The sequence below is a fragment of the Homo sapiens genome, chromosome 17 (genome assembly GCF_000001405.40).
Source record: "Homo sapiens chromosome 17, GRCh38.p14 Primary Assembly".
Classification (NCBI taxonomy): domain Eukaryota; kingdom Metazoa; phylum Chordata; class Mammalia; order Primates; family Hominidae; genus Homo; species Homo sapiens.
The window spans coordinates 14,306,224-14,333,261 of record NC_000017.11 but is presented as its reverse complement, the minus strand read 5'-3'; the positions used below and the strand labels follow the sequence as shown (position 1 = coordinate 14,333,261).

The window sequence follows — 27,038 nt, the reverse complement described above, 5'->3', positions numbered from 1 at the left end:
ACTCCTGACCTCGTGATCCGCCCGCCTCGGCCTCTCAAAGTGCTGGGATTACAGGCATGAGCCACCGTGCCCGGCCTAAAATCTGTTTTTATACCGCTTTGACTACTATGGCTCTGGTTTTCTTTCACAGATCCCATCTCTCTTTAGTTTCTTTCCTACGAGAACAATCATTTTCTCCTCTGGGGACGCACAGGGTCTCACTCCTTAACCAAGACCAACATCATGGGTATTATTCTCATCACCTGGTTTCTTGGAGCTGCGGGCTCTTCCTGGGGAGCAGGGAGCATGCGCAGCTTTGCTGGTCTCGAAACCCCTAGCAACCACCGCCAAGCACTCAGGAAAAAGAAAAACCCTTCTCAGTTTTACAACTGAGATTTGTCAGTTAGCACGTCTTAACCTACGACATTAAAAAAAAAAAAAAAAAAAAAAAAAGATAAAAGGTCCTCTTTTATGAAAGGATGCCCATCAGTTATCAGGGACTCTGCTCTGTACCCTCACCGTGCTGAATGGGGTTGCCCAAGCCGCTCCTTGGCCTCAGCTGCTTGGAGCTGGATCCTTAGCTCCTGCTCTGTTCCTTGGGGAAGGAAGTGCGATAATAAGGGAAATGAGGGACCCAAGAACCGGTGGGATGGAAGCTGAGGGCTTATTTCAGTCTCCGCATTCCGTGGACCAGTTGCTCAATCTTTCCATTCCAGGAAAGATTTCCATTCCACCTACTCAGGTGACCAGCTTGAACGGGCGGTGGGAGCGGTTGCAGACTTTTAGGTTAGCTGCGAATGGGGGAGGGTAGAGGATGCTTCCAAGAAGCAAACTTCCAAGCTGCCAGGCAAGTCCTAGAGGTGGAAGACGCTGGCAGGTTATGGGGGGAGGGCATCTGGTACTTCAGACCAACGTGTTAAAGCATTTTCAAAAGAAAATCCAAGGGAAAAAGAAAGAGTAGGCCGCAAGGTCATTACAGTCCTAATCACAGCATTTTCTGTAATAGCAAGCATGGCCTAAACTACTGTCTTCTCCGAAAGCCAATGTACTAACCTTAAGTATTCACCCCCCAAAAACAGCCTGGGCTCTTTCTACATGACCTTATACATCCCAGGGAACCTCAGGGGTCAAAAAGACAAAGGTTACAGTCTCTCCTCTCCCCTTTCTTCATCTACTGAAAGATAAGACACCCAGCCAGGGATGCGAAAAGGAAGTTTTCCCAGAAAACTTAACATAGACATGGGGACAATGACAGAGGAGAGCTGTAATTTGAACTGCAAGTTGTAACTCCGGGAAGTTTCTTCTTTAAAGCAGCTTTCATCCCAGGGAGTGGGGTTTGGCGGGAGGAGGCTGGGCAGAAGATGTGTATCAGCCCTGCCACTCCTTATCTGGAACCTCCTTCCTTTCCTAGGAAGCCTCAAAGCCACCCTTTCTGAGAACTCCCTTCAAAGGCCCACATCTCCATAAATAATTATCTCCATTTGGGGGAGATGTTTGCATATCAAAGAACTCCTTTGGGAGGGTTTAGAATAATTTGAACTGAAATTGTAAATAGTTACTGGCTCTCAATTTCAGGTTTCGCAGCAGGATCCGTGGGGCTCCCGGAAGTGATGTCATTATTCATTAAAAGTTTACTAGGCCTTTCTCTTTCCTTTTTTAAATGTTTTAAAGGTAATGGGTAGGAAAGAAGAAAAATAACAAGGGATGGACTCCCGAGCCCTCCTCCTCTTCCAGGCCCTCTCTCCTTTCTCCACGCCCAGCCCCCAACCCCCACCACAAGGATTTGGCCTCCATTGTCCTAGAATTTCAATACTGCTCAGAAAATGAAAAGCCCTTGAATACCATAAGGGGGTGGAGCTCAAAAGAGCATCTCGCTTCTCTGGGTCAACTCAAGATCCCTTTCATTGGGGCAGAATCCTCGGTTATAGGCCCCGCTTCACAATGGCCACCTGTTCCTGTTCCTGGAAGGGGCTGGGGGTGGGGGTGGAGGGAGGGTTTCAATTAAAAGCTAATAGTCTTTTGCGGGTGAGCTCTCTGGGGTACTGCTCCTGTTTACAGGACCTTACAAACTCCTGTTTATGCCGGGACAAATCCTGTGAAATCAATGATCCTGTGTCCTATTTCCTAGGGGGAAAAAAAAGCAAAACAAAATCCAACTTAAAAATAAAATCATTATAAAGAAAGAACAAGAGTTTTCTGGGAAGCGGACTTTTTAGAAAGTAAAATCAGTGCTGCCAATGGGCAGGGGCGGGACAGAGCTGAGTACCCAGAAAGAAGGGGAGGAGGGTACCAAAATCCAGCTGCAGTTGAAGTAGTTCTGCTCTTTCCTGCTTGGACAGATTCTTCTCTGCACACGCTGGGCCAACGTTTTGTCTCTGATGAGTCCTAGCTTCCCGGTCTCTAACACCGTTCTTTTTTCTGGGTCGGTGGGGCTCCAGCCCTATGTGGGTTACTTCCCTGGCAACAAAGGGCCATTCCTCCAGCAAGCAGCTTGCAATTCTCTTTTCTTTTTCGCATGCCTCTGTAGTCCCCTCCCTGCTCCCAGCTTCATTCCCAAGAAAAGCAGCCTTCCCTTGTACCCTTGGTAGCACAGTGTAAATGTTTGTAAACTGGCCTTCACCCAGAGAGCTTGCAAAACACTCTGCAACACCAGTCAACACAGAGTTGATGAAAATCACTAAACCTCCACCCGCAAGCAACACACACACACACACACACACACACACACACACCGGGAAACCAGGAGAGAAACAGGACAAGGGGAGGGGCTGCCCAATGCTCAGAATGAAAGCAGAGTGGGCACTGGGCATATGAAACTCTAGGTTCCAGTTCCTGCCCTGCCACAGACAACAGGTACTTGGACAAGACACTCAAAAGCTTGTGCTCAGTTCTCCGCGTGTAAAAATTAATGGATTGGTTTAAAAGGGTGTTCCTCAGCTCTAAAGTTATTATAACCACCCTTTCTCCCACCCCTCCCCACATACCACTTCCTCCTACAGCCAGCAGTAGGGTGGCACAAGCTGGCAGACATTAAGTAGAACCTCTATAAATATTTGGTGTTTGAATACGTACAAAACGCACCCCAAGGGCATTGGTACAGACCACCCCCAGGAGGTGTCATCAGATGATGCTCAATGTCAAATGTACCTTAAAATGAGGCACTCAGCCTGGTGAATCAAAAGAAAAGTGGAGTTCAAGGTCAGGCTGTGTGGCCTCAGGCAAGTGCACAACGTCTCTGTGCCATCTTTCCTCATCTGTAAAAGGATAACATTTGTCCTGCCACTTTTACAAAAAAATTCTTCCAAGAATCCAGTGTAGTTTGTAGATGAATACACTCTGAAAGCAGCAAATTCCTACCTAAGGGTAAGGTGGGATGAATCCCACTTGTGCCCCCTCTTTATGTCTCCGTTGGCATTTGGCTCTGGATGAGAGAAATGCTGTTAAGGAAGAAGAGACATAAAATCGTTTTTTAAATTTAAAGGTTCAAGTAACAACAAATATTTAAAAGAGTTTGGATTTCTTGTAATTTTTCCCTTGTGCTATGAAGCATTCCATTTTTGGTGCCCTCCTTCTTAGTGCCCCTGTAGGATGTTGGAGACAAAGAAAAACTGAGTCTCCTTCTGGGGTTGACATCACTGAATGAATTAGATGATCAGCCAAGGAGGAATGGGAAATTAGGCAGCTTTTAACACAAGCTCTTTCTTTTCTTTTCTTTTCTTCTTTTCTTTCCTTTTCTTTCTTCTTTTCCTTTCTTTTTCTTTCTTCTTTCTCCTTCTCTCTTTCCTTCTTTCTTTTCTTCTTTCTTTTTCTTTCTTTCTCTCTCTCTCCCTCCCTCCCTTCCTTTCCTTCCTTCCTTCCTCTCTCTCTTTCTCTCTTTTCCTTCCTTCCTCTCCTTCCTTCCTTCCTTCCTTCCTTTTCTTTCTTTCTTTCTTTCTTTCTTTCTTTCTTTCTTTCTTTCTTTCTTTCTCTCTTTCTCTCTTTCTTTCTTTATTTCCTCATGGCACACAATTAGGTTGAGAAGGAGAGAAACAGCCCCAGTTTAGGGGCAGGGATCCATCTGAGGCTGCTAAAAAGAAGCAAGCACTGTGGAAAAGACTCAGTATCGTCAGCGACCTTCCCTATCTCCTGAGTGCAGGACCACTAGGAGTTTGGGACAAGAGAAATTTCAATCAGCGCTTGACTTAAGTCTGAGATAATGGCTCCATCCAGCTCTCTGCTTCCCTTGTGCTCAACCAACAGAACCCTACTTCACGGCAATCCACTAAAAACAGTATAAGGTAACTAAGTCAATAAAAATCTGAAGACATAAGCTTGAATTCAACTAAAATGAAGGGAAGTAAGTGCAAATAAACCCCCGTTATCATAGGCTTTAAATAGCTCAACAACGTTTTAGAAAAGCAATGAAGCAGTTGCTCTCTCTTTTTTTGCATTATTTTATTTTATTTTGTAGAGACAGGGTTTTGCCATGTTTCCCAGGCTGGTCTTAAACTTCTGGGCCCAAGCAATCCACCCAGCACAGCCTCTCAAAGTGTTGGGATTACAGGTGTGTGCCACCTTGCCAGGTGGAAAAGAAGCACTTTCTAATCAGAGAGAAGATCCCAGAGACTATAAAACTTGAGATGCTACAGACAAAGAAAAGGCTACTGTTTCTCATCTCACACTCCTTCTTGTCATCAGTACTTACTTCTTCCTAACTGGCTTGTACATATGCTTGAGGGTGACCAAGAGATGTCTCAAGAAAACAAGAGACATGGCAATGTCAATGGAAACTCTAATTGGACATCATCAATTAAAGTCCACACCCCCTTCCCTAGGGGAATTCTTTTTGTGGATTTATTGGAATTCTCAGCTTGTGAAGTTCAGATGCTACCCGGAATCAACTTTCAGCAGGAGAAAAGTAAGCCCAACCTCCCTACATTCTCATCTTTTCATTGTCATGGTCAACCATTTATTCTAAAAGCCCGATACCTTTGCAACAGATCAGTATACAGAGTCCAACCTGCCTTGTGCATTTCACATCCAAAGAGAGAAGGAAAGCATTGGAGGCCTGAAGCTATGGACAAAGGTTCTGCATTATTTGAGTAGGTTCCATGATTATTTGTTACATTCTATGAGAACTTTTTGATAGATGATGTTGCCTGACTGGTGAGTCTTAAAATTTCCAGCAACTCTTCTGTGCTTTAGACAAAGCATTCCCGTTCATCTCCCATTCTTCACCCGTAAGGAACGACACAGTAAACACCAAGGAGATTAAGTAACTAAACCATCAGTGAGAGAGCTGCTAAGAATTACAAGTGAGATTAGCCTTTTACCCTGCATTGGCTTCGTGAAAAACTGACCCTGTGACTATTTTTAAGCCTAATGACCATTTCCAAAAACAAAATCTTTAATTGCAGCTTATTGCCTTCCATGTTTTGTCTCGTATTTGTTTAGACTGTGAGTTTTAAAGACTATCTTTAAAAAAATACAAGAAAAACAGCAAAACACCAGGCATCGCAAGCACTTGAAAATATTTGTTGAATGAACAAATAAATGAATGAAAGAAAATGAATCAACTAGCAAGGCTTAAAGCTAATGACTGGAGGTCATGATGCAAATATGTCAAGAAACTCAGGGGTGAATCAAGGGCAACTTGGAATAATAAACAGGTGGGGCCAGGATTCAAAAGGGTGATGGTCCCAGTATCCTGATGTCCAAAGATGTCCAAAGATGACACATACATGTATCATCACACCCATTACATTAAGTGACGCAATGACATTAAGTGGCTATACCCATAAAAGTCTTGAACTTAAATGCTAAGCAAAAACACACAACAAATGTGATAAGATCAGAGTTCCTTATTTTACCTGTGGATCACAGCAAACTCTGAGCCCATCTCCCCCCATTGAACTTGGGATGCTTTACCTCTGGTGGCCAGTAATCAACATCTGTTCAGACTAATAAATGGTTACAGTTAATAACAATGAGAAAAATTGCACTAATTAGCAGATTTGTGTTAATTATTACTTATTATTTTGCCTTAATTATTATTAAAGTTAGTTTGCATTCCCAAGCATCCCTCAAGTGATGGCAAATGCCTCCTAGGTAGCAGCAAGAGGAAAGGAAACTCGAATTCAACTTTAATATTTGTCATAATGATGAAGGAGTCAGTGATATGGCCAGTGTGTGTTGTTGATCGGGATGATTCTTGCCCTCCAGGGACTTACCGTTTATGTTGAGAGAAATTCCAGACACAGTCAAGAGATATTATACACTTGACTCGAAAATGAGAAACGTGAAAAATTGGCACCCAGAAGTTGTGCTCGGGACAACTGAAGCTTCTTCTTCTTCTTCTTTTTTTTTTTTTTTTTTTTTTTTTGAGACAGAGTTTCACTCTTGTTGCCCAGGCTGGAGTGCAGTGGCACGATCTCTGCTCACTGCAACCTCCACCTCCCGGGTTCAAGCGAGTCTCCTGCCTCAGCCTCCCAAGTAGCTGGGGTTACAGGTGCACACCACCACGTCCAGCTAGTTTTTTTGTATTTGTAGTAGAGATGGGGTTTCATCATGTTGGCCAGGCTGGTCTCAAACCCCTGACCTCAAGTGATCCACCCGCCTCGGCCTCCCAAACTGCTGGGATTACAGGCGTGAGCCACGGCCCCTGAGCCTGCCCCAAGAGTAGGTGGAAGTGAAGAAATCAGGAACAAAAGATGCTCCTATTTAGGAACATGAACAAAGCCTACTCAATGAGACAGCCATTGGGCCACTTAGCCTGGACTGAAGTTTTTGTTTTTTGTTTTTGTATTTGTTTTTAAGACATGATGGCAAATAAGGTTAGAAAAATGGATTGGAAAACAGGCTGGGAATACCCTCATCCACTCTGTCCATCCCTCCATCCCTTGCTTCCACAGACATCTTTCCAAAAGCCAAATCTGGAAATGTTCATAGCTTCTCGTTGTGTTGAGAATGACCTGCAAACTCCCTGGCAGGGCATATATGAATTCACTCCAAGGGAATTCTAAGTTCCTCCCTCGCTCTTTCCAACCCTCCTTCCAACTCTGCTTCACCCCAGCTATCAGGAAGCACCTGTGGTTTCTCCAGTGGATCATGAGGTTTCTTGGCCCCCATGGACTTCCCTCCTCCTGGACTATTCTTTCTGGACCTCCTTCTTCTAATATATTTCTATACACTCCTTGTTCCTTTTTCATAACTATTACATTCCCAACATCCTTCCTGAAAATGCACACACACACGCACACACGTGCGTGCACACACACACACGTACACACACACACACAGAGTCATCATAACCTCTATCCATCTACTATAGCAGTCCTCCAAGGGGGTGAGGACTGGCTTATTTGCACTGTGGCAAAAATAAACAGTTGCTAGATAAAGGAAGAGTAAACAAATGCAGGAACAAATGCTAAGACAGATTTTGGATTTGACCTCTGAGGCAATGAGAAGCCACATAAAATGTAGGAGGTTGGCGGCATCAAAATCTTTTGTTAGGCGTCAGGGAGCCAGCACTTACCAGCAGCGTATCTTAAACAGGCTTAGGCTTTGAGCTGATTATAAACTCCGCGAGCCTACTAAGACCAGTATTTTTAAAATGTAAAGAAATTTGGAATAAGCAAAAAAAGATCACTAGGTGTCTCCAGTGGAAAACTTGCACTGTTTAGAGCACGCTCGCTGATTATCTGACTCCAGCCTTTTATTGCTTTTGAGAGACTCTGCAACTTTCTAAATTATATAGACAGCAATATAGCAATCCAATATAATTCTTGATTCTTGACCAGAGATATACAAATAAGTTCTTTCTGGTGGGAGTTCTCTGGACTTTTTTCTCTACCTCCTACTCAGTGGAAGAAGTCAGTTTCTCATCTATTTGTTAATTAAAGTCCAAGTAAATTTGTATTCTTTTGACTTCTCCTTTGAACCAATGGTAACATTTGCCTGGTTCCATCATTAATAATGAGCGAAATAAGGTTTTTAACACACTCATTGTATACCTTGATGAGAGCATGATTTTACCTTTTTCTAAGAAAAATATCCTTTAACAAAAAGGCTGGATTAACCATGTGCTTCTTGGAGGGGCCCTATCTGTGCCAGTAGCCATTGCCCCATGGCAATCTCTTTATGCCAGCCCCTCGGCTTAATACCAAGAACAGTCATGGTTCCCTTTCAGCAAACAGCTTGTTTTTGTGATTTGTGTAATTAAGGTTTTCTTTTTTTAAAAGCTGTGAGAAAGCTGTGGATCAGGTCCATAGTCATTTGGGGTACATTTCTTAGGACAATTCCTGGGTCCACCTTATATTCCCACTTTTGGTTTTCTTCTTTAACTGTCATGTTTTATGTGCTCTCTGTGCTTTATGTATCATTTTTAAGAATCGCCTTAATGGTGGCTCACACCTATGATTCTGGCACCTTGGAAGGCCAAGATGGGAGGATTGCTTGAGCCCAAGAGCTTAAGACCAACCTGGATAACACAGTGGAGACCCTATCTCTACAAAAATTTTTAAAAATTAGCCAGGTGTGATGGTGTGCCTGTAGTCCCAGCTACTCAGGAGGCTGAAGCGGGAGGATCACTTGAGCCCAGGAGGTGGAGGCTGCAGTGAGCTATGATCACACCATTGTGCTCTAGCCTGGGCAACAGAGCAAGACCCTGTCTCTAAAATATATTTTTAAAAAACAAACGATAGATAAAAATAAACGAAATATGTAGATTTGAATGGGGAGGGGACAGTGGGGATGTAAAAGAAGGGGCAGCTAATTCTAAACATTTTGCTACTCAGGAAGCTAAGGCTGGAGGATTACTTGGGGCCAGGAGTTCGAGACCAGCCTGGGCCACATGGCAAGACCCTTATCTCTAAAAATAAATAAATAAACAAACAAACGTTTTAAAGGAAGATAGAAAGAAAAGCCACTGACAGGTTAGATGTGGAGAAAGAAGTGGGGACAAGGAGCACCCTCAATTTTTAAGCAAAGTTGATGGAGGGCATGACACTGAAGCACTCTGTGTTCACCCACAGAAGTAGCAGTAACCCAGGAAGTTTTGAGGGTGAGGGGTGAGGAAGAATTTAGGTGTTCATCCAAGAAATGTTATAAACAAATGAAGATTTACGTCCTGTCTCCATGTGTAAAAACAGATCAAAACTGAGAGAAGGTAAGAATAACCCCAGATTATAAGCGAGAAAAGGGCTCCTGGGTCCAGAAAGGCTCATTCTGGGCAGACGAATCAGCCTAGGTTGGGGTTGGGGGCAGGGGTCGGGGGTGCACCAAGAATAATTACTGCCTCTCTCTGAAAAGCTCAGCGGTGTTCTCTATTCTCTGACAAAATCAAATAAAGACCTTTAAGCTGTTACTTTCCCAAATGAATCAATTTCCAATTCCCTGGGCTGGGAACATAGGGCACTAAGCTCACAGGCAAACACCACCTGAAGGAGAGAACAAGAGCTGAGCTCTCTATTGCCCCATTAGCACGTTTTGGAGATTAATCAAGCTCAAACCTCTCCAAAGACAATGTTTTCCTGGGTTTGCTAAATGCACATCGATTCACTTGTCACTTGGAGACAGTCAGGACTATCAGGTAACAAACTGAGGAATGGAATCAACTGACCACAAAGCTATAAAGCTGGTGTAGTTATCAGCCTCCTCACACCCAATATGAAGTTATCTCAATGCATCTGGAATTGAGATAGCTTTCTTTATGAGACAAAAAAAAAAGCACATAAAACATGACGGTTAAAGAAGCAAACCAAAAGTGGGGATATAAGATGGACCCAGGAATTGTCCTAAGAAATGTACCCCAAATGACTATGGACCTGATTCACAGCTTTCTCACAGCTTTTAAAAAGGATCCCCTTTCCTGGGCTCCTCCTTCCTCTGAAGATACATGATTCTTCACTTGTTCAGAATAGAAATAGGCCTTGTTAAATATTACGACAGAATGCTACCCTTGCTGACTACAAAAAGGTATGCAAATTCCCCAGTGCAGTACCCAAGGAGCAGAGCTCTGGAGCTTTTATGAGTTGTGGAGAATCCGAGTAAAGGGATGGACCCTCTTTGCAGCAAAATGCAGATATAAGACATATACACGGCCAGGTGCGGTGGCTCACGCCTGTAATCCCAACACTTTGGGAGGCCAAGGCAGGTGGATCACCAGGTTAGGAGTTCGAGACCAGCCTGGCCAACATGGTGAAACCCCGTCTCTACAAAAGATACAAAAAAATTAGCCGGGCATGGTGGCATGTGCCTGTAATTCCAACTACTCAGGAGGCTGAGGCAGGAGAATCGCTTGAACCCAGGAGGCAGAGGTTGCAGTGAGCCGAAATTGCGCCATTGCACTCCAGTCTGGGTTACAGGGTGAGACTCTGTCTCAACAAAAAAAAAAAAAAAAAAAAAAGACATAGACACAAATCTCGCTTCTCAACTTCAGGAGATTCACAGACTCCAGAGCAACTGTGGGCCCAGATTAAGAGCCTTGGCACAGCCCAGCAGCTGTCCACCAGCCACGGGTTGGTTGTTCTGCTGGTCAAAAGCCTGGTTGACATGATCTGTGTTAGGGGTCAGTGAATGGGGGAGAGAGGACATGGACTCTTCCAGGTTTTCTAGATTTCGGCCATCTGGGAGGTTAGCATAACACTTAGGCCCACCCAAACACTCTGCCTGCAATACATACACATGGGATCTGCCTTTATATTTTATTAAGCATTGAAATGATGAGTCGGCACAGTTTTGTGAAGTCGCAAAGATACCAGTCCAATACTCAAAGTTCATGCTACAGAAAAATAAGTTTACCCCTTGGAAAGAGGCAAACCTTTTATCAGAAGATGGTTCTCCCTGCCTTGGCCATCATGATGTCAGCTCTAAGAGTTGCAGAGCGCTTTACCTGCCACAAAGGACTAGACGTTCAGGATCTCACTGGCTCAATGTAATAACAATGAAGGGTTGTTTCCTTCATTTTAGAGAATGGGACGGTGAGGCTGAGAGAGGAGAGATTAAGTGGCCCCAGATCAAATACTGGGCAATGTAACAAAGCAGGGACTCAAAATCCAGAATGTGAAACTCTGAGTCTCATGCTCATCCCACTTCTCTACATTTCTAAGAACCTCCTAGATCAAAATGCTCAAATATAGTAACCATCCCACCTCTGACTCATCTCTAATTACTCACCCCCTTTCTAAAGAGGTTTTTGTCTTCTTTTCCTATCCGACAATTAAAAAAAAAAGGTTTGGGTTTAAATTAATTTTTTGGAATTATAGGGCCTATAAATTATAATGAAATAAACAGCACTTTATATATATATATATAAAAGAGATGATGATGATAATGATAATGATGATGATAATGATGGTGATGTGTGTATATATATATATGAGAGAAAAATTAATTTAGAAAGTGGAAGCTAAATCTCTTACTAGTTCTTTGCACTTCCGCACTAATGCCTTTATTTTAGGAGTTCATTTTTCACTCAGTCCCACTGAAACAAATGATCACAAAACTGAAAATAACTAGATTAGCCTCTCCAAACCACAGCCCTCATTCCTCGTTCCCAATTCTTATTCTGTTTTATGTACTTTAGCCTGTATTTTTTTTTCAACCGCCATCAGTGTTCTATGGAAGAAAAACACCACTTACCCACATCCTGGAACTAATATTACAGGCCAGGGTTGCTCAAGGCAGCTCACCTAAAAGGCTCTGCTGGTGATACAAACCCAGCTGGAAAGAACTGGAATTTCACAATGTGCTTTACAGGTATCGTGAGCTCACGAACCGACCCAGGGCTATCCCCTCTGCCCTCCTTCTTCCCTTTAAATAAACGAAGTGTGTAAATGGAAAAGAGAGCTGATCCTAAAGGTTCAGAGGCCAGAAGTCAAGCTCAATCCATCTTTAGAAGACGGGAGATACATGAAGCTGCGCCAGGCTAAACAAGCCTCTCGAACCAGCAGACAAACAGGCTAATAAATTAGTACTGCTAAACCACTGAGCCGAGGAGCCAGAATCAATCCAATAGGCTGCCTCCTCTTCTAGCTCATTAACTATTTGAGATTACCATCATATGGGGAGTAGCCTCTCAGCTGGAAATTAAATTAGCCTAGCTATAAACCCGGAACGTAGACGGGAAAGTGTCTGATGAGTGAGCAATCCTGGGGAAAAGTCCACCACCAAATGCTTGCCCAAACTCCATCCTCAGACACTCCAAGCTGGCCTTCCTTTACACTTTCTCTTTTGAACAACAACAAAAGGAGTGAGACTTTCTTACTTTGATGTTCAGAAAAAGCACAGTAAATCAAGGTTGTACACACACATCCCACCGTCCCTGCAAATGGTCGGTGCAGAGGGCTGAGCTCAGTAAGAAGGGCGGCAGGCACTAATTGCACACTCGGAACAGGTGTGTGCCTGCAGAGCCACCTCTTAATTACCAGGTTTGGCATTTTGGCACTGGCAGCCTGGAACTGAATGCTGGAACTGAGCGGCCAATGGGGCTGTTCCTATTGTAGGTCTGCGGAGCTGAGAAATGGAATTTCTAATTACATGGCTTCAACTTAATGAAAGACTCCTTCCAGACAGGCAAAAGGCAACCAGATTCGAAGACGTGGAACCTGGAACACAACCTGAGAGGATCTCCAGCACTGGCCCTTTTTTCTGAGTGGCATCTTTTCTGATCACCAGCAAAAGCAATTTCTGTTCAATACTATTCAACAGCATCTGACAATTCCCACTTTTGAGCTGACATACTTGAAAAAGAAAAAAAAATAAGCACAGGATAACCTGTACTAGTTACCCTTCAATGTCATGAGGTTAAGGCTTACTTACAAACATCCTCGACTCCCCTCATGCGGTCACTCTCTTCTGCTGGGTCCTTCCCTGCACCAACCATATTTTTTCCTAGGAACCTCCTTGCCTTTTCACATGCATTCCTTCTGCCATGATCTTCTTTCCCACCTGGTCTGCTCATGAACTCTTATTCATCCATCAAAACTTCACTCCCATGTCACCTCCTCCCTGAAGCCTTCCCAGTGCAGCGCCCCATCCCGCCTAGATAGATTGAAATTCTCCCTCTGTAGGATTTGTTTTTGAACTACTTCTGTTTTTGCATGTATCATGCCATACTGTGTTTAGCCATCTCACCCCTCCCTTTATTCTCATGCTCTACAGTCTGTCTCTGCAAAGCAGTCAGGGTTTTTCTAAAATGTAGGACAGGTCCTGTCCCTTCCACTCATAAAGCCCCACACACGCTGGCGTCTCACATCAAGACCTGCCTCTCTGACCCTCTCAGTCCTCATCTTTCTACCTTTTCATCTTTTTAAAAAGGCCCTCCTGCGCAAAAGCATTAAGAATGATATAATGGACTTTGGGGACTCGGGGGGAGGGTGGTGAGGAATCAAAGACTAAACATTGGGTACAGTGTACATTGCTTGGGTGATGGGTGCATCGAAATCTCAGAAATCACCACTAAAGAACTTATCCATGTAGCCAAACACCACCTTTTCCCCAAAAACTATTGAAATAAAAAAAGGCCCTCCTGACTTCCAGCCTATAGTGTCCCTTTTCTCCCATCATCCTCTCCCACAAAACCGTCTACCCCCTCACTCTTGGTGACATTATATTTTTATTAATCTACTTGTTTATTTCTTTACTGCCCATCTCCCTACTAGAATGTAAGCTACAGGAGGGCAGGAACAGTGTTCATAAAATAGGTACCCAGTGATATTTGTGAAATGAACAAATCTTTGAATCCCAGAGCCTGATACAGAGTAGATGCTCAATACATTAATGTCAGTACTTAAATTCTAAGAAACGAAACGAAAATCAGTGGACATTCAGATACAGAGAAACCAAGAACTAGCTGGAATCAACCTGATTCCTCCCCCTCTTCCCTGTGTCCACTGTTGGCTTCCAAATGGATATAATCAATCCTCAGGGACTGCCCTAATGACAATTTCCTCTGGGAGGAGGGTACACGGTGCCTGTCCTCTCAATACACTCTTATTGAGTAAAGAGAAGCCAAAGGATTTTATAATGGAGACAAAACAGCACCAAATCCAAACCAGAATGTAATTGACAAGCTGCTAGAAAACTGTTTACGGAGGGAATGTGTGAGACAGAATCTAAGTCCACCACTATACTTGAGCTTGCAATCACTTAGGAGGCACCTTTACCTGCAGCCCAGACCGCTGCTGTCTGCTAGTGCCTCTCTCCGCACCTGAGCTTCTGGGACTTACGATCCATCCATCTGCCACATCTGGAGGCTGATCAACCACAAACAACTCACAGCCCTCACTGATGTGCTTTTGCACTTCCCATCCCCCAAACCCACATCCCCAAAAGACACCATCTGGGTAAAATGAGGTGGCTTCCATCAAAGTCCTCAAAACCAACGAAAGCTTCAGTCTTGAGGAAGCCAGTACATCTGCTGCCTGGCAAATGCTCTTTTCGCAGAACACAAAATAGTCATGGGCTTGTTCTGTACTTCTGTTTCCAGCTGGGACTGGAAGAAAACACCATCCCAAAAATAACAGTGAAAGACTGAACATTCCCTTGGAGGAGACAGATGGGAAGGAGACACAGTCAGGGCAGGGAGCCACCCAGCCACAGTGGCAGCCCCCTAACCAGCTGCCTCCTGGCTGTGCCCTCTTGAGTCTACCTCTCAGCCTCTCTTCTCTGTCTCCTCTAAACAGAAACAGGATCTGATCAGGGCAACCCAATTCTGAGCTAGACCTTATCAATAACTGCAGTTACTTTTATATGCTAACATGGAAGGTTCCCAAACTTAGCTGAGTTCCTCCACAGTGAGTGATGGGCCCAGGACTAAATCACACTGGGAGTACCGGCAAGCAGGAGCCAAGCATGGCTTCTTTAGACTGCTTGCAATTCTGAGACAGAGGGCGAAGGTTTGCCCCAACCCTGCCTGGTTGAGCCAGAGAGCCGTGGACACGTGGCAATTCCCTCATCCCCTCTCCCGCTGCGCCTGCTGACATGCCTCTCCCGGAAGAATGACAGGGATCCTCTCTCAGCAGGACTGGTGAAGGGAGAGGAGAGGTGGCAGGGCCCAGCCTGCAGACCACCTGCCTCTCCACACCATCGGGCTGGAGAAGCTGGCCTGGGGAGCCGAGCGGGGAGTTGGAGAAGAATGGCTCTCTTTCCCTCAGTACTTCAAACCACAGAACGAAGGTGCTTAGGACAGTCATCCAAGCTACCCAAGGAGGCAGCAGGGAGGGGGTGTGTGGATTCCGCAGGGGCAATGAGTGGGGATGAGGAAGCATGTCCCAGCCATATTTGCAAACACCATCGGGAACTGCTGCTTGTTCCTTTGGGAGCCTTACTCGAATCACCCAGCAGGGCTAAATGTGGTTCATCTTAGAAAACCATCTATGTGTTTTCTGCTTTCTCTGTCTTGAAATCACAAATTTTTAAATTTTCCCTGAAAATACATGAAAAGAATTTGAATTCACAACTCATATAAAGCTTGTGAATGTCTCTGGTATAGGAGCTCTGCTGGCCTGAAAAACTCCCTTGTCTGTAGGATAAAAGCCCTCTCTTTAATGTGCCATTCCAGCCTCTCCACCTCTGAGCCAGCCTCCTGGCTCCTCTCTCCCCCAATCCCAGGCACCCTCACTGTTTCACCGTTTTGCCCAAGCTGCAGTGCTCTTCTGTGCTTCTCTGGGCCTTTTTCACACAGAGCTTCCCAGCCCTGAATATTCTGATCAGTTTCCAGGACAACCAGCCAGCAAGCTCCTATCCGTGCTTCAGTGCCCAGCTGGATGGTGTCTTTTTCTCTGGGCCTCTTTCTCTCTCTCTGCTCCTACAGCATTTCTTACTTTGTTCTATACACCTCTCACCATGGCCCCTCGACCAAAATGGTGAGTTCTTTGAGGATTTGGACAATGGCTTAAAACCTTGTTTTCCCAATGCCTGCCTACCACCTGACCCATTCTAGGAGTTCCAAAACTGTCTGGTAGAGAAAATCATGAATGAATGAATGAATGGTAGACAAGATGACATTCCACTAGTAGTGCCATCTAGATGCTCTGGTCATACACTGGCAATAAGGCTGTCCTTGTTATTGCCTGATTTTCACAAGGCCGCACAGAAAGCGAAGGTGGGTATTAAATTTCCCTTTAAAAGATACGTAACTTTATAGGAAGGGAAGTGTGATAAGAATGAAAAGCTAGTCGAGTACATGCAATAGAGGATCCCACTCTGGTGTGAAACTATTCACCCACAAACCATGTGAAATGTCCTTGCCAAACGCCTCCTCCTGAGCAAGGGCTCAGGTAGAGGTGAGCAGGCGATCCATGCAGATGTTAGAATTTCCCCAAGTACGAAGAACCTACGGTAAGTGTATCAGGAGATAATAAGATAACTATGGCAAGCTTAGAGTGCTTGCAGGAGAAATCCAGATACTCCTGTAACTTTAGTTTTATACAAACAGGTAAATCAATCCCCATCTCTCTCTGTTAAAAGGCTTCACTAGCCTCCTTCCCCAGTGACACCTAATCTGAAAGTTTCCTTTGTTTCCGGTGCTGTGTGAACTGCAGGACACTTTTCAGTGTTCCCCTTGGCCACACAAAAGGGGGAAAATGCATTTTTTTAAAAAGTTATTGGCTTCGTTTGCAGCTCAAGGCTGCCAATGTTTACATGTGGCACTCACGTTATTTAGTGAAGACCTCAACATTACAACCAGGTTGAGCAATCATCTCGGTGCTAGCATAAAACATACTCAGACCACAAGCGCCACACAGGGCCAGGCAGGGTGGAAAAAAGCTTCACCTTTTCCAACACCATCAAACATCTTGCTCCATAAACACCACCGACACAGAACACTTACCTTTGAAAACAGACATAAGCTGCTTGGAGGAAAGCTGAACCTGCAATTAGCCTGCTTACAGAATAACAGCAAGTGGAGGCAAAGCAAGACCCGACTTGAAATCCTAATCAGCAAGTCTGTTCCCCCGGCCTCGGCCTCAGCCTCAGCCACTTTTTATCCAGGGTCCTTGATTCACTGCAACTCCACTTCTTGCTCTTTATTCTTTTTGCAGCAATCATCTGGGGCCAGGGGGAGGGTGCAGACATATTAGGTTTGAGATGACATCACAGTGGGAGATGTGTGGGAGAGGAATAACTCAAGCTATAGGAACGGGAAGCCTGCTCCAAGGGGTAAAGGTGGATGGAGAGAGAGCGGGAGCACAGGATTAGTGTCAGACTCTTAGAACTGCAAGAAACCTCAGAAACATGTTTGGCGAATATGGCCCAAGCTGGCATCTGGATAGACACAATGCCTCAGGATGCTGGAAGGTATGAATGAAAGGAGGGTTCTGTACTCATGGGGGAAATGCTAGGTGAAACAAACATTTATTTACTTTAATTTATAAATTTGTTTTGTTTTGTTTTTAGCTACAGTATTTCTCAGGGCCTCTAATATGCTAACATGGAACTCTTTTTTTCTACCCTCTACCTATTAATTTTTTTTTTTTTTGAGATGGAGTCTCACTCTTGTTGCCCAGGCTGGAGTGCAATGGTGCAATCTCAGCTCACTACAACCTCTGCCTCCTGGGTTCAAGTGATTCTCCTGCTCCAGCCTCCTGAGTAGCTGGGATTAGAGGCACCCGCCACCACGCCTGGCATTTTTGTATTTTTAGCAGAAACAGGGTTTCACCACGTTGGTCAGGCTGGTCTCGATCTCCTGACCTCAGGTGATCCACCCACCTCGGCCTCCCAAAGTGCTGGGATTACAGGCATGAGCCACCACACCCAGAAGAACTTTGTCTTCACTCAAAGAAACGTGGAATAGCGCATCTCAAAGTGTGGTCTGCAGGACTCCCCACAAACTGTCCTGGAGGAGATACATGCAAAACCTGAGAGGAAGCACTTAAAACTATTATAAGTAATTTGACATTGCGACAGCATCCAAGGCCATGATCAGTAAACTCACTAGCCAGTGTGCGTGTTGCTAATTGTATGGCAGGAGGCACACGGCATGCTCTGTGTGCTCATCACATGCAATAGGACAACATATTGAGCCACAGTGCATTGGGGGAAAACGTGGTCCTACAGGAGAGTTGGCTGAGAACTGGTTTAGGAAACACTGCTGGGTCCAATTTCTATGGTACACATTGGGTATTCTGCTGACACCAGAATGACTGAGTGACCTGACTATCCACAGCAAAAGGCTGACCCTAAGATTTGCCAACTGGGGAATCCGATCAAAGAAAAGCCAGTTAGGGAACTAAAAAAGTAAAAAATAGGAGAAGCATGTCACTGAAAATGATTTCATCAAGGTGATTTCTGATTTTAATTGGCAGCCAGCTAAGCAGACCTCCACACAGCCTCTCTTGGGATCCCTACAAAAGTGTAAAATGAAAAAGTCAAATAGATAAAAGCTCCTGCCCAACTCTAACAAGAATGCCCGTGATGAACTGGATTGGGGAAATTTAATCGTGAAACGTACATACCTGAAAAAAGTGGGAAAACTGTTTGAAGCTCCCCACTCTGGTAACAAATGAGAGAAGCTGCCCAGTGTGAGACAGGAAGGGGCAGGGAGGGCAGAATGTCGGAAGGAGAGACGATTCCCCCATTCACAAGCCCAGGGGCTCACCAGGTCCAGCCATTTGTTGCCATAAGAAAGACAGGCATGGTACTGTCTGATCCTTTATAAAAGCAGCAGGAAATCTGGATTTGTATGTGAAACCTCCCAACCTGTCAACATAGGCAGTAAATGTGCATGTTTTAAAACCCCATGAATATTCACTGTTAGGCTTCCTTTATATTAGATTCAACAACAGGCAAAACTAACTGGTGGTGGTAGAAGGTGAGATAGTGGTTGTCCTCGGGATGGGGACGGTAACCAGAAGGGGATACAGAGGTAGCTTTGGGGGTTTTTGAACTGCCACTTCTTGATCTTGGCGCTTGTTACCAACAACATACTTGTATGTTTGCCTTGTGAAAAGTGTCAGGCTGTGCACTTCTGATTTGTACACTTTTCTATAAGTATGTAAATAAAAATTTAAATAAGAAACCCAGGCCAGGCAGGGTGGCTCATGCCTGTAATCCCAGCATTTCGGGAGGCCGAGGCGGGTGGATCACCTGAGGTCAGGAGTTCAAGACCAGCCTGACCAACATGGAGAAACCCTGTCTCTACTAATAATACAAAATGAGCCGGGCCTGGTGGTGCATGCCTGTAATCCCAGCTACTCGGGAGGCTGAGGCAGGAGAATCGCTTGAACCCGGGAGGCGGAGGTTGCGGTGAGCCGAGATCGTGCCACTGCACTCCAGCCTGGGCAACAAGAGCAAAACTCCATCTCAAAACAAAAACAAAAACAAAAAAAGAAACCCAAACCCCACAGATTTATAAACAATATAATGTCTGAGATTTCTTTCAAATAATACTGAAAAGAGATAACACAGCACCTCCTTAGAAATGATGGAGGGGGCCAGGTGCGGTGGCTCACGCCTGTAATCCCAGCACTTTGTGAGGCCAAGGCTGGTGGATCAGCTGAGGTCAGGAGTTCGAGACCAGCCTGAGCAACATGGTGGAACCCCGCCTCTACTAAAAATACAAAATTAGCCGTGTGTGGTGGCGCATGCCTGTAATCACAGCTACTTGGGAGGCTGAGGCAGGAGAATCACTTGAACCTGGAAGGCGGAGGTTGCAGTGAGCTGAGATCACACCACTGCATTCCAGCCTGGGCAACAAGAGCGAAACTTCGTCTCAAAAAAAAGAAAAGAAATGACGGAGGGAAGTCTTGGGGAAGGTATAAAATAAAGCCATGTCGAGAAGTGGTTAAGAGAGTGGTGTTCATATACAGGCTGCCATCTCTCTGAGGTTTCTCCTTTTGTGTAGGAAGAGCTAAATTAAGTGGTGCTTCGAGCAAGAGGAGGTCCTGCAGAGAAGCAATGCATACAAGTCATCTTGGCACAGGTAAGGGGTGGTGACTAGCAGGGCTAGCAGCTGCAGAGTAAGTAAGGGCCAAGTTCTCAGTGGAGCGCATAAAGTTGGGGTGGGCCAGATCAGCTTTATATAAGACATTTTTGGCCAGGTTCAGTGGCTCACACCTGTAATCCCAGCACTTTGAGAGGCCAAGGCGGGTGGATCACAAGGTCAGGAGTTCGAGACCAGCCTGGCCAATATGGTGAAACCCTGTCTCTACTAAAAATATATATATACACACACACACATATATATATATATACACACACACACACACCACACACACACACACAATAATTAGCTGGGTGTGGTGTGGTGGGCGTCTGTAATCCCAGCTACTCGGGAGGCTGAGGCAGGAGAATTGCTTGAACCCAGGTGGCAGAGGTTGCAGTGAGCCGAGATCATTCCATTGCACTCCAGCCTGGGTGAAAGAGCAAGACTCTGTCTCTGGAAAAAAAAAAAAAAAAAAGACATTTTCACTCACAACTGCTGGGGATGGTACAAAACCCAGTGTCTCCATGGGTGGGGTCCTCATGGTGCTGGACAATACAGCTCAGAAGCAATGGGCCACAGAGTGTAAAATGTGGGGGTGTGTCAATGTGATCCCAAGAGCTGAGACCCTGAGTGGTGTAGTTGTGGGGGGCAGCACAAAGGGCAGGTGGGAGAGAAGGGATGAGTTGGTAGAGGAGGGGATGGGAGCAGGCCTCGGTCAGAGAAGGGGAGTCAAATGCACAGATGTTGGGGCAAGGGCTACAGGGATGGCAGGAAAGTGCTGGGTTGGCACACGGATGGCATGGTTGAAGACCGCCACCATCAACATGGACATCAGAGCAACAGAGACAGGCTAGGAACAAGTGTGGGGAGTGAAAGAGAATAGGGACAGAAAAAAGGATGAAAAAATAGAATCTTGGAAATGCTTTTAAGTGGAAAAGTCTACATCTTTGGGAGGAAAGAAACAACAGAAGAGATGGCTTAAAACTGGTCCAGAAGGAACACGGCATTGAATTTCAGGCAGGTAGACAGCCTCCAAGTTATGGAGTTTGAAGGGCCCTCAGGGAGTCGTTCCCTTCTTCCTTAGGTCCAAGAGGTAGAGCCACCTACAGATACAGCTGTATGACCTTAGGCAATCTCTGTGAGTTTCCGTTTCCTCCCTTGGAAAATAAGGGAAATCACACAGGAAGCATCGCTGTTAAGATTAAGTAAGCGCCTGGCCCACTCGCCTGCACACAGCAAGTTCTTGCATACGGAGGCTAAGACATTTTTTTTTTTAATCACACAGTTGCTGACTTTCTGGCCCCTTCTTACTTCCTTAGCTCTCTTTGGAAAGCTCCTGGAAAAGTAAAATGCAAAAATCACATTTTAAATTTGTACTATCTTATCTCATGCTTCTGCTTCCTCCTTAAATGGTTTTCAGATTTACTAGTAATTTAGTAGGACTAATGATTTCAAAAATAAAAGTAAAAACATCAGGCTTAAATTGCCTACAGATCTCCTCGAGCCTGTTTTAAGTGGTGCTTCAAGGAAGAGGAGGCCCTGCAGAGAAACGATGCATACAAGTTGATGCATACCTGGGATTACAGGTATGCATACAAGCCACCAACTAAAACAGGCTTCTCAGGGACAAGTTCATGGCTCCTGTACTTCCTCAGTGTTTTAAGTGCTGCCTTGTACTTGATAAGAGCAAGTGCACCGACGGGATTTTTGAGGTGGTAAAACTACCCTGAATGATACTATAATGTGGGATACAGGTCATTACCCGTTTGTCCAACCCTAAACAATGTACATCACCAACAGTGAGCCCTAATGTAAACCTACGGACCCTGAGTGATAGCGTGTCAACACAGGTTCATCAGTTGTAACAAATGTGCCAGTCTGGTAGAGGATGGTGATAGTGGCAGACTGTGCATGTGTAGGACTGATGGGTATTTGGGAAATCTGTGTACTTTATTAAATTTTGCTGTGAACCTAAAACGGCTCTAAAAATACGGTCTGGGTCTGGCGTGGTGGCTCACACCTGTAATTCCAGCACTTTGGGAGGTTGAGGAGGACGACCTGCTTGAGCCCAGGAGTTTGAGACCAGCCTGGGTTAACATAGTGAGATCTCATCTCTACAGTTTTTTTTTTTTTTTTTTTAATTAGCCAGGCATGGTGGTGTGCACCTGTAGTCCCTGCTACACGGGAGACTGAGGTGGGAGGATCGCTTGAGCCCAGGAGGTAGAGGTTGTGCCACTGCACTCCAGCCTAGGTGACAGAGCAAGACCCTGTCTTAAAAAAAAAAAATCCTTGTTAGATGAATGAAAAAGTAAGTAAACATGATTTATACGAATGTATTATTCATTGACTATAGAAAAGGATTTTAAATGGTCACCTTTGGCTTCCTCCATTAATAAGTATTTTAAATCAGTGATAAGGTAATGATCACTTCACTGCCTTTCTCTCTTTACCTCATCCCTTCCCACACCCATCCACCCACACACTTGGGGATCTTCGGTGGGAACAGGATGTTTACTGCTTTGTGTATCTGTGTCAACTGGCAGCACTAGCATATGCTAAGTGCCCGCAGGCAGACTGGAACAATCAGAGAAGAGGGCACCAGGGACAAGCCCGACAGCACATCAGGAGGAAGGGCTGGATCCAGCCAAGAGAGTTTCCGGTACACAAGGCCAGGACCGGCAGGGAGAGGCTGCTTAGCTAGGAAAAGGCACCGGGAGCGATCTGGAAGAGAATTACTGGTCTCTAATTGTGTACTTTGTGTGTCTCTCCCCAGGGAGATTGTACTTTAATGGAAGGAAGAACGAAATCTTGTACTTCTTCAACATCTCATGCAACGATGTTCAACGTCTTATGTGCACTTCCCGACGTGCCCTTTTCATAGGCCTTTAGAAACGCGAGGAAAAAGGTTGCCTCTTTCAAATCCACAAGAGTTGTTGGCACCACGGAGGAAACCTATCCGCAAAGGCTGGGGCTGGGGCCTTTGTGGGCTGAGTCCACCTTGGGCAGCACTAGAAATGGGTGGGCTTGTCAGTGCCTGCTCTGGGTAGGGGCGGCTACAGGGCTCTGTGCACAGGACTTAGGGTTAGGAGGACGAGCCTGGCGTGTGTGAACAGCGCGGAAGGTGCTGGGGAGGGGGCGTGCCACTCGGTCTGAGTCCAGGTGAGATTCAGGGATCGGAAGGAGCTTGTGAGATACTGGCCTTTTCCTCTTCCTCCTCTCCATCCCAGTCCTTCCCACTTTCTCTTCGTCCTGTCATTTAATGGGCCAAATTATGGAAATGAAGGTATTTTCTGTTATCCACTGAATCTGCGGAATCGCCTTACAGGCACCCATTATAGAAGTGGGTGGAAAGAGGATTATCCATTTCTTCCCCCCAAAGAGAAACGGGGGCGGAGAAAAGGGAGAAACGAAACGTGCTCGTTGCAAATTGACTCAACTGAATTCACTTTCTTGCCAGCAACCCCTCCCGCTTCCCAGACCCAAAATAAGGTCCGAAAAAGCCGAAGTGTCCTCTTCGGCTGTAAATAATCCACTCGGGCCCACTCGGGTCCTGCCAGCCAGGGCTGCAGAAGGCGAGACGGTCTCCCTGCAGGACTCGGGAGCCGAACATTCGGAGAACAGACATCTCCGCTCCAGAAAACAGGAGAATTTGTGCAGGAGGGTGCAGACAGGACAAAGAGAGAGGAACCAAAGGAAGAGAGCACAATAGAACAGCTGATAGGCTCGACTTGGAAAGCGAAGGCAGCTCAGGACCAAATCAGCAGCACCGAGTGGAAGCTGAGCTGCCAACAGCCAGGCCAACACCGGCGGGGGCGGGGCGCGCCCGCTCAGCCCGCCTCTCTGGGCGGGGTTCTCCTCTCAGGCGGAACACCATTGGTCTCTCCGCAGCCCCTCCACCCAATCAGCGCGAAGACGGGTCCCGCCGGCACCGCCCACCTCTAGCGCGGGCCGCTCAGCCAGGCTCAGCCCAACAGGTGAGGCCGGACGGCGAGGCTGGTCACGTGGCCACGGAGGACTACCCGGCCAGCCTAGGGGCGGGGGAGGCGGCCCCAGTCTCGGCTGCCAGCCCTGCCCCCGCACTGGGAAGCTCCGCCATCTGTCTCCGGCTCAGCGGCCCCCGGGCCAGAGGCGGCGATCCCGCGCGACACCAGGGCCGCGTCGATTGATGCCCGAGGCCGGGTGGCTCGGAGCCATTTTCCCCGCCCGTGGTAGCGCCCCCGGCCACCCTTCCAGAACGGGATGTCCAAGCCAACGCCCCCCTAGCTCCCGAAAGGAGCGGACACGTGGCAACGTCGGGGGCAGCTGGGGCCCTGCTGGACACTTCCGTCCGCAGACCTGAAAAAGGGGGGCGGCTCTCCCCCCAGCTCCATTCATTAAATCAAGAGTGGGATTCTCACTGCTCTTCCCAATGTTTTTTTCACTCTCCATTTGCTTCTCAAACCTCACATTGCCCAGAACCATCTTTCAGCATTTTATGGGTTTCTAAGCAAGTGTAACAGTATTAAGCAGTGTGGGGCAAAGACTTGGGAGAAAACAGGGATTCTGAATCCTACGTGTAAGGTGCTTCATGGACACACATGGAATCGTTCACATTCTGGGCAATGGCGTTTAAAATAGTGACCCCTTGGCGAGAGAGTCTGGGCTGAAACACAATCAACTTGATGTTAAACCAGAGTCTTATTTTTTCACATTTGCCATATTTAGAACAAAAATATCTTATTCCAACAATGTATAGTGTGTGTACTTTTTTTTACTGTCCGGAAAATATAAACTCCTCTCGGACAGTACTCTTTAACCAGCTCTAAATCTAAAGATACGCACTCATAATTTTTACAAACAGCAATCTTTGGGAGGCAAAACCTGTGCAGTACAACTTTGCTATTTAAACATGTTTCATCCATGACACAATGAAGTACATTTTCTGAATGAGCCAGTAACAAGATATTTTTAATATTTTTCAAGTTACCGAAATGTGCGTGAAATTTGTATTTAAAAGAATTTATAAAGGAAATTAATACCACTTTTATCTATGTACAAATAAACTTAATGGTGGGTTTTATTAGCATTAGCAGTATTTTAACACATAGCCTCTTGGCTGCCATAAAAATTATTTATTATCATTTTATTAAGATGGTAATTGCTTCTCACGTCTTAAACTTTTCCCCAAATCTCTTGACAAGAAAAATCAGAAATAAAAATCAGCATGCACGAACATCAGTTTTATTTGATGTTAGTTTTGTTTTGGCATAGTTTGAGAGAAACCCGAGAGTTCCAACAAGGTAATGTTTTAAATATATAAAAAGTTTCATGCTCTACTTACAATTAGTTTTCAAAGATATCAGTATCTCCTTTCTTTTCAGTCATGGTAAATGTTTTCATTCGAGGTAGGCAGCATATTGTTTTCATTAAACTTGAAAATATGCCACATACTTGGGGGACTCATTTTGCTGGAATTCCTGACTATCCCAACAGCCTAGGATTGAAATTTCTCTTACTGTCTGAAATCATCGACTGTTAAATGAGAGAGGTAGCGCCCTGTTTGGAAACTAACTCTATTCACAGCAAAAGAAATGCTCATTATGCCCTGCCTTTAGAGTAGGCATTTTGTGTTTCTGTCAATCAACTTAATTTCCATGTTCATAGAGTGAGAACATAAAGTATTCAAAAAACTACTGACATAGAAACCAGTCGGCAAGCAGCCTGAGTCACGTATTTCAGTTCTGAACCTTGAAATAAATGCCACCTCCCTGATTCATAAAACTAGCTGACTGGTGAGTTTTTAAAAAAATTCCTGGTGTGCTTTTAATTATAAATAATTTTAGTGATTCAAGGAGTCATTTCATATAACCAGAAAACCTTATTCCTACAACATATTATAAACAAAAAGATAAATCAGCATACATATGTGGAATGACGTTATATGACATATTGACTTTTCAAAATATTAAAAAGTTTTTTTTTTTTTTCAGACTAAAACATCAAACTAGAAACACAGAAGCTGTGACAGGTCATTTTAAAGTTTCAAGCAATACAACTCTAGCTGGAAAAATATCTTTCACAAATACTAGTCTATGCTAAATTGTAAATTTTCAATTATCAGTTTCCATTAAAAAACATAATCTAGTTTAGCCAACATGTAATTCCTAATTGTAGTATTCTATTTTGATAAATATTTTTAAGACATGTACTGCAACCTAATTTTTAGAGACCTGTTCAATGATAACATATCATTTGGAAGATAATAAGTGTAATCTAATTCATATATTTTAGCATCATATTTATCTAAAACAAATGGGTTGCTATTAAATTTTGACTATTTTATTAACTCAGAGCATCTGGGAAAACACTTATGATTAGGTTAATTTATGTTATATTTTCCCTTCAACTTGTAAAAGATTAATCAACCATTTTATGGTCTAATTTAGGTGCCTAATTAAAAACAGAGTTCAACACATGCTCCACTGTCTTGCTAATAAATCTTGAGAGCTTTGTAACATGATGGTTTGTATTTCAAATTGTTGCATACAAATGTAGATTTTTTTTTTTTATCTTCACCCAGCATCTTGGAAGTGAGTTACATACTTGGTTTAAACTCTGGGACTAAGAGAGTGTAATTCCTTCAAAATGGATTATCCCCAGCCAGATCTTATCTTAAATTTCCCTCAGTGAAGACAGAAACATTCTTTGCTACCAGGTTTTCTGAAGTAGACTAGAAAAATAGGAGGCAATTTTGTTTTCTCAGCATTTGTTAAATTTAAAATGTGGGGAATATAGCTATTTTCAGCTATTAGCTTTCAAGAGAGAGATTTCTGAAGTTACAGGGTTTTCTATGTTCATTCTAAATGAATCTGCCAAAAGTGTTAGCTATAATTGTCTGCTGGTTAATCAGTACAAGTTAATTATGAACTTGATTTGGGGGCACTCTTTTTATGAATAAATTAATTCCAAGAAGTTCTGGAACGTGTCATTTAACCTCACATCCTCCTCCCAGCCTTAAAAAGGACAAATGGCAGAGGATAAATCTCCTCAAGAGGGACACTTGCTATGTTTTCTCTGTCTGGATGCTTGAGGGATTTTTTGCCATGTCAGTGACTCCCTTGATTCTAACTGTCCTTTGCAGAAAAATGAAACTGACACGGTGGTGTGATTATCC

The 27,038-nt window shown here is 44.7% G+C and overlaps 1 protein-coding gene across 3 annotated transcripts in view, besides 4 other annotated features; it reads right to left on the bottom strand.

Moving 5' to 3' along the window:
* HS3ST3B1 (heparan sulfate-glucosamine 3-sulfotransferase 3B1) overlaps positions 1 to 27,038 on the bottom strand; it is a 48,324-nt gene that overhangs the window by 16,143 nt on the left and 5,143 nt on the right. Inside the window, exon 1 of one of the 3 annotated variants that reach the window (XM_017025479.3) lies at positions 2,270 to 8,421. The exons of the other annotated variants lie outside the window; for them this stretch is intronic. The gene's annotated coding sequence lies outside the window, so the exon portion shown is untranslated. Of the gene's footprint in view, positions 1 to 2,269; positions 8,422 to 27,038 lie in introns of those variants that run through there. 3 annotated transcript variants of the gene reach the window in all.
* Positions 9,218 to 9,769: an enhancer, noted in NCBI's record as "NANOG hESC enhancer chr17:14226810-14227361 (GRCh37/hg19 assembly coordinates)". NCBI's record gives its function as "activates a minimal SCP1, AML or CMV promoter by ChIP-STARR-seq in naive H9 embryonic stem cells {active_cell/tissue: H9 hESC(naive)}" and the evidence as "EXISTENCE:reporter gene assay evidence [ECO:0000049][PMID:30033119]".
* Positions 22,436 to 22,956: an enhancer, noted in NCBI's record as "H3K4me1 hESC enhancer chr17:14213623-14214143 (GRCh37/hg19 assembly coordinates)". NCBI's record gives its function as "activates a minimal SCP1, AML or CMV promoter by ChIP-STARR-seq in naive H9 embryonic stem cells {active_cell/tissue: H9 hESC(naive)}" and the evidence as "EXISTENCE:reporter gene assay evidence [ECO:0000049][PMID:30033119]".
* Positions 22,957 to 23,477: an enhancer, noted in NCBI's record as "H3K4me1 hESC enhancer chr17:14213102-14213622 (GRCh37/hg19 assembly coordinates)". NCBI's record gives its function as "activates a minimal SCP1, AML or CMV promoter by ChIP-STARR-seq in primed H9 embryonic stem cells {active_cell/tissue: H9 hESC(primed)}" and the evidence as "EXISTENCE:reporter gene assay evidence [ECO:0000049][PMID:30033119]".
* Positions 23,646 to 23,705: a silencer, noted in NCBI's record as "silent region_8209". NCBI's record gives its function as "represses an Ori minimal core promoter by ATAC-STARR-seq in GM12878 lymphoblastoid cells {active_cell/tissue: GM12878}" and the evidence as "EXISTENCE:reporter gene assay evidence [ECO:0000049][PMID:35858748]".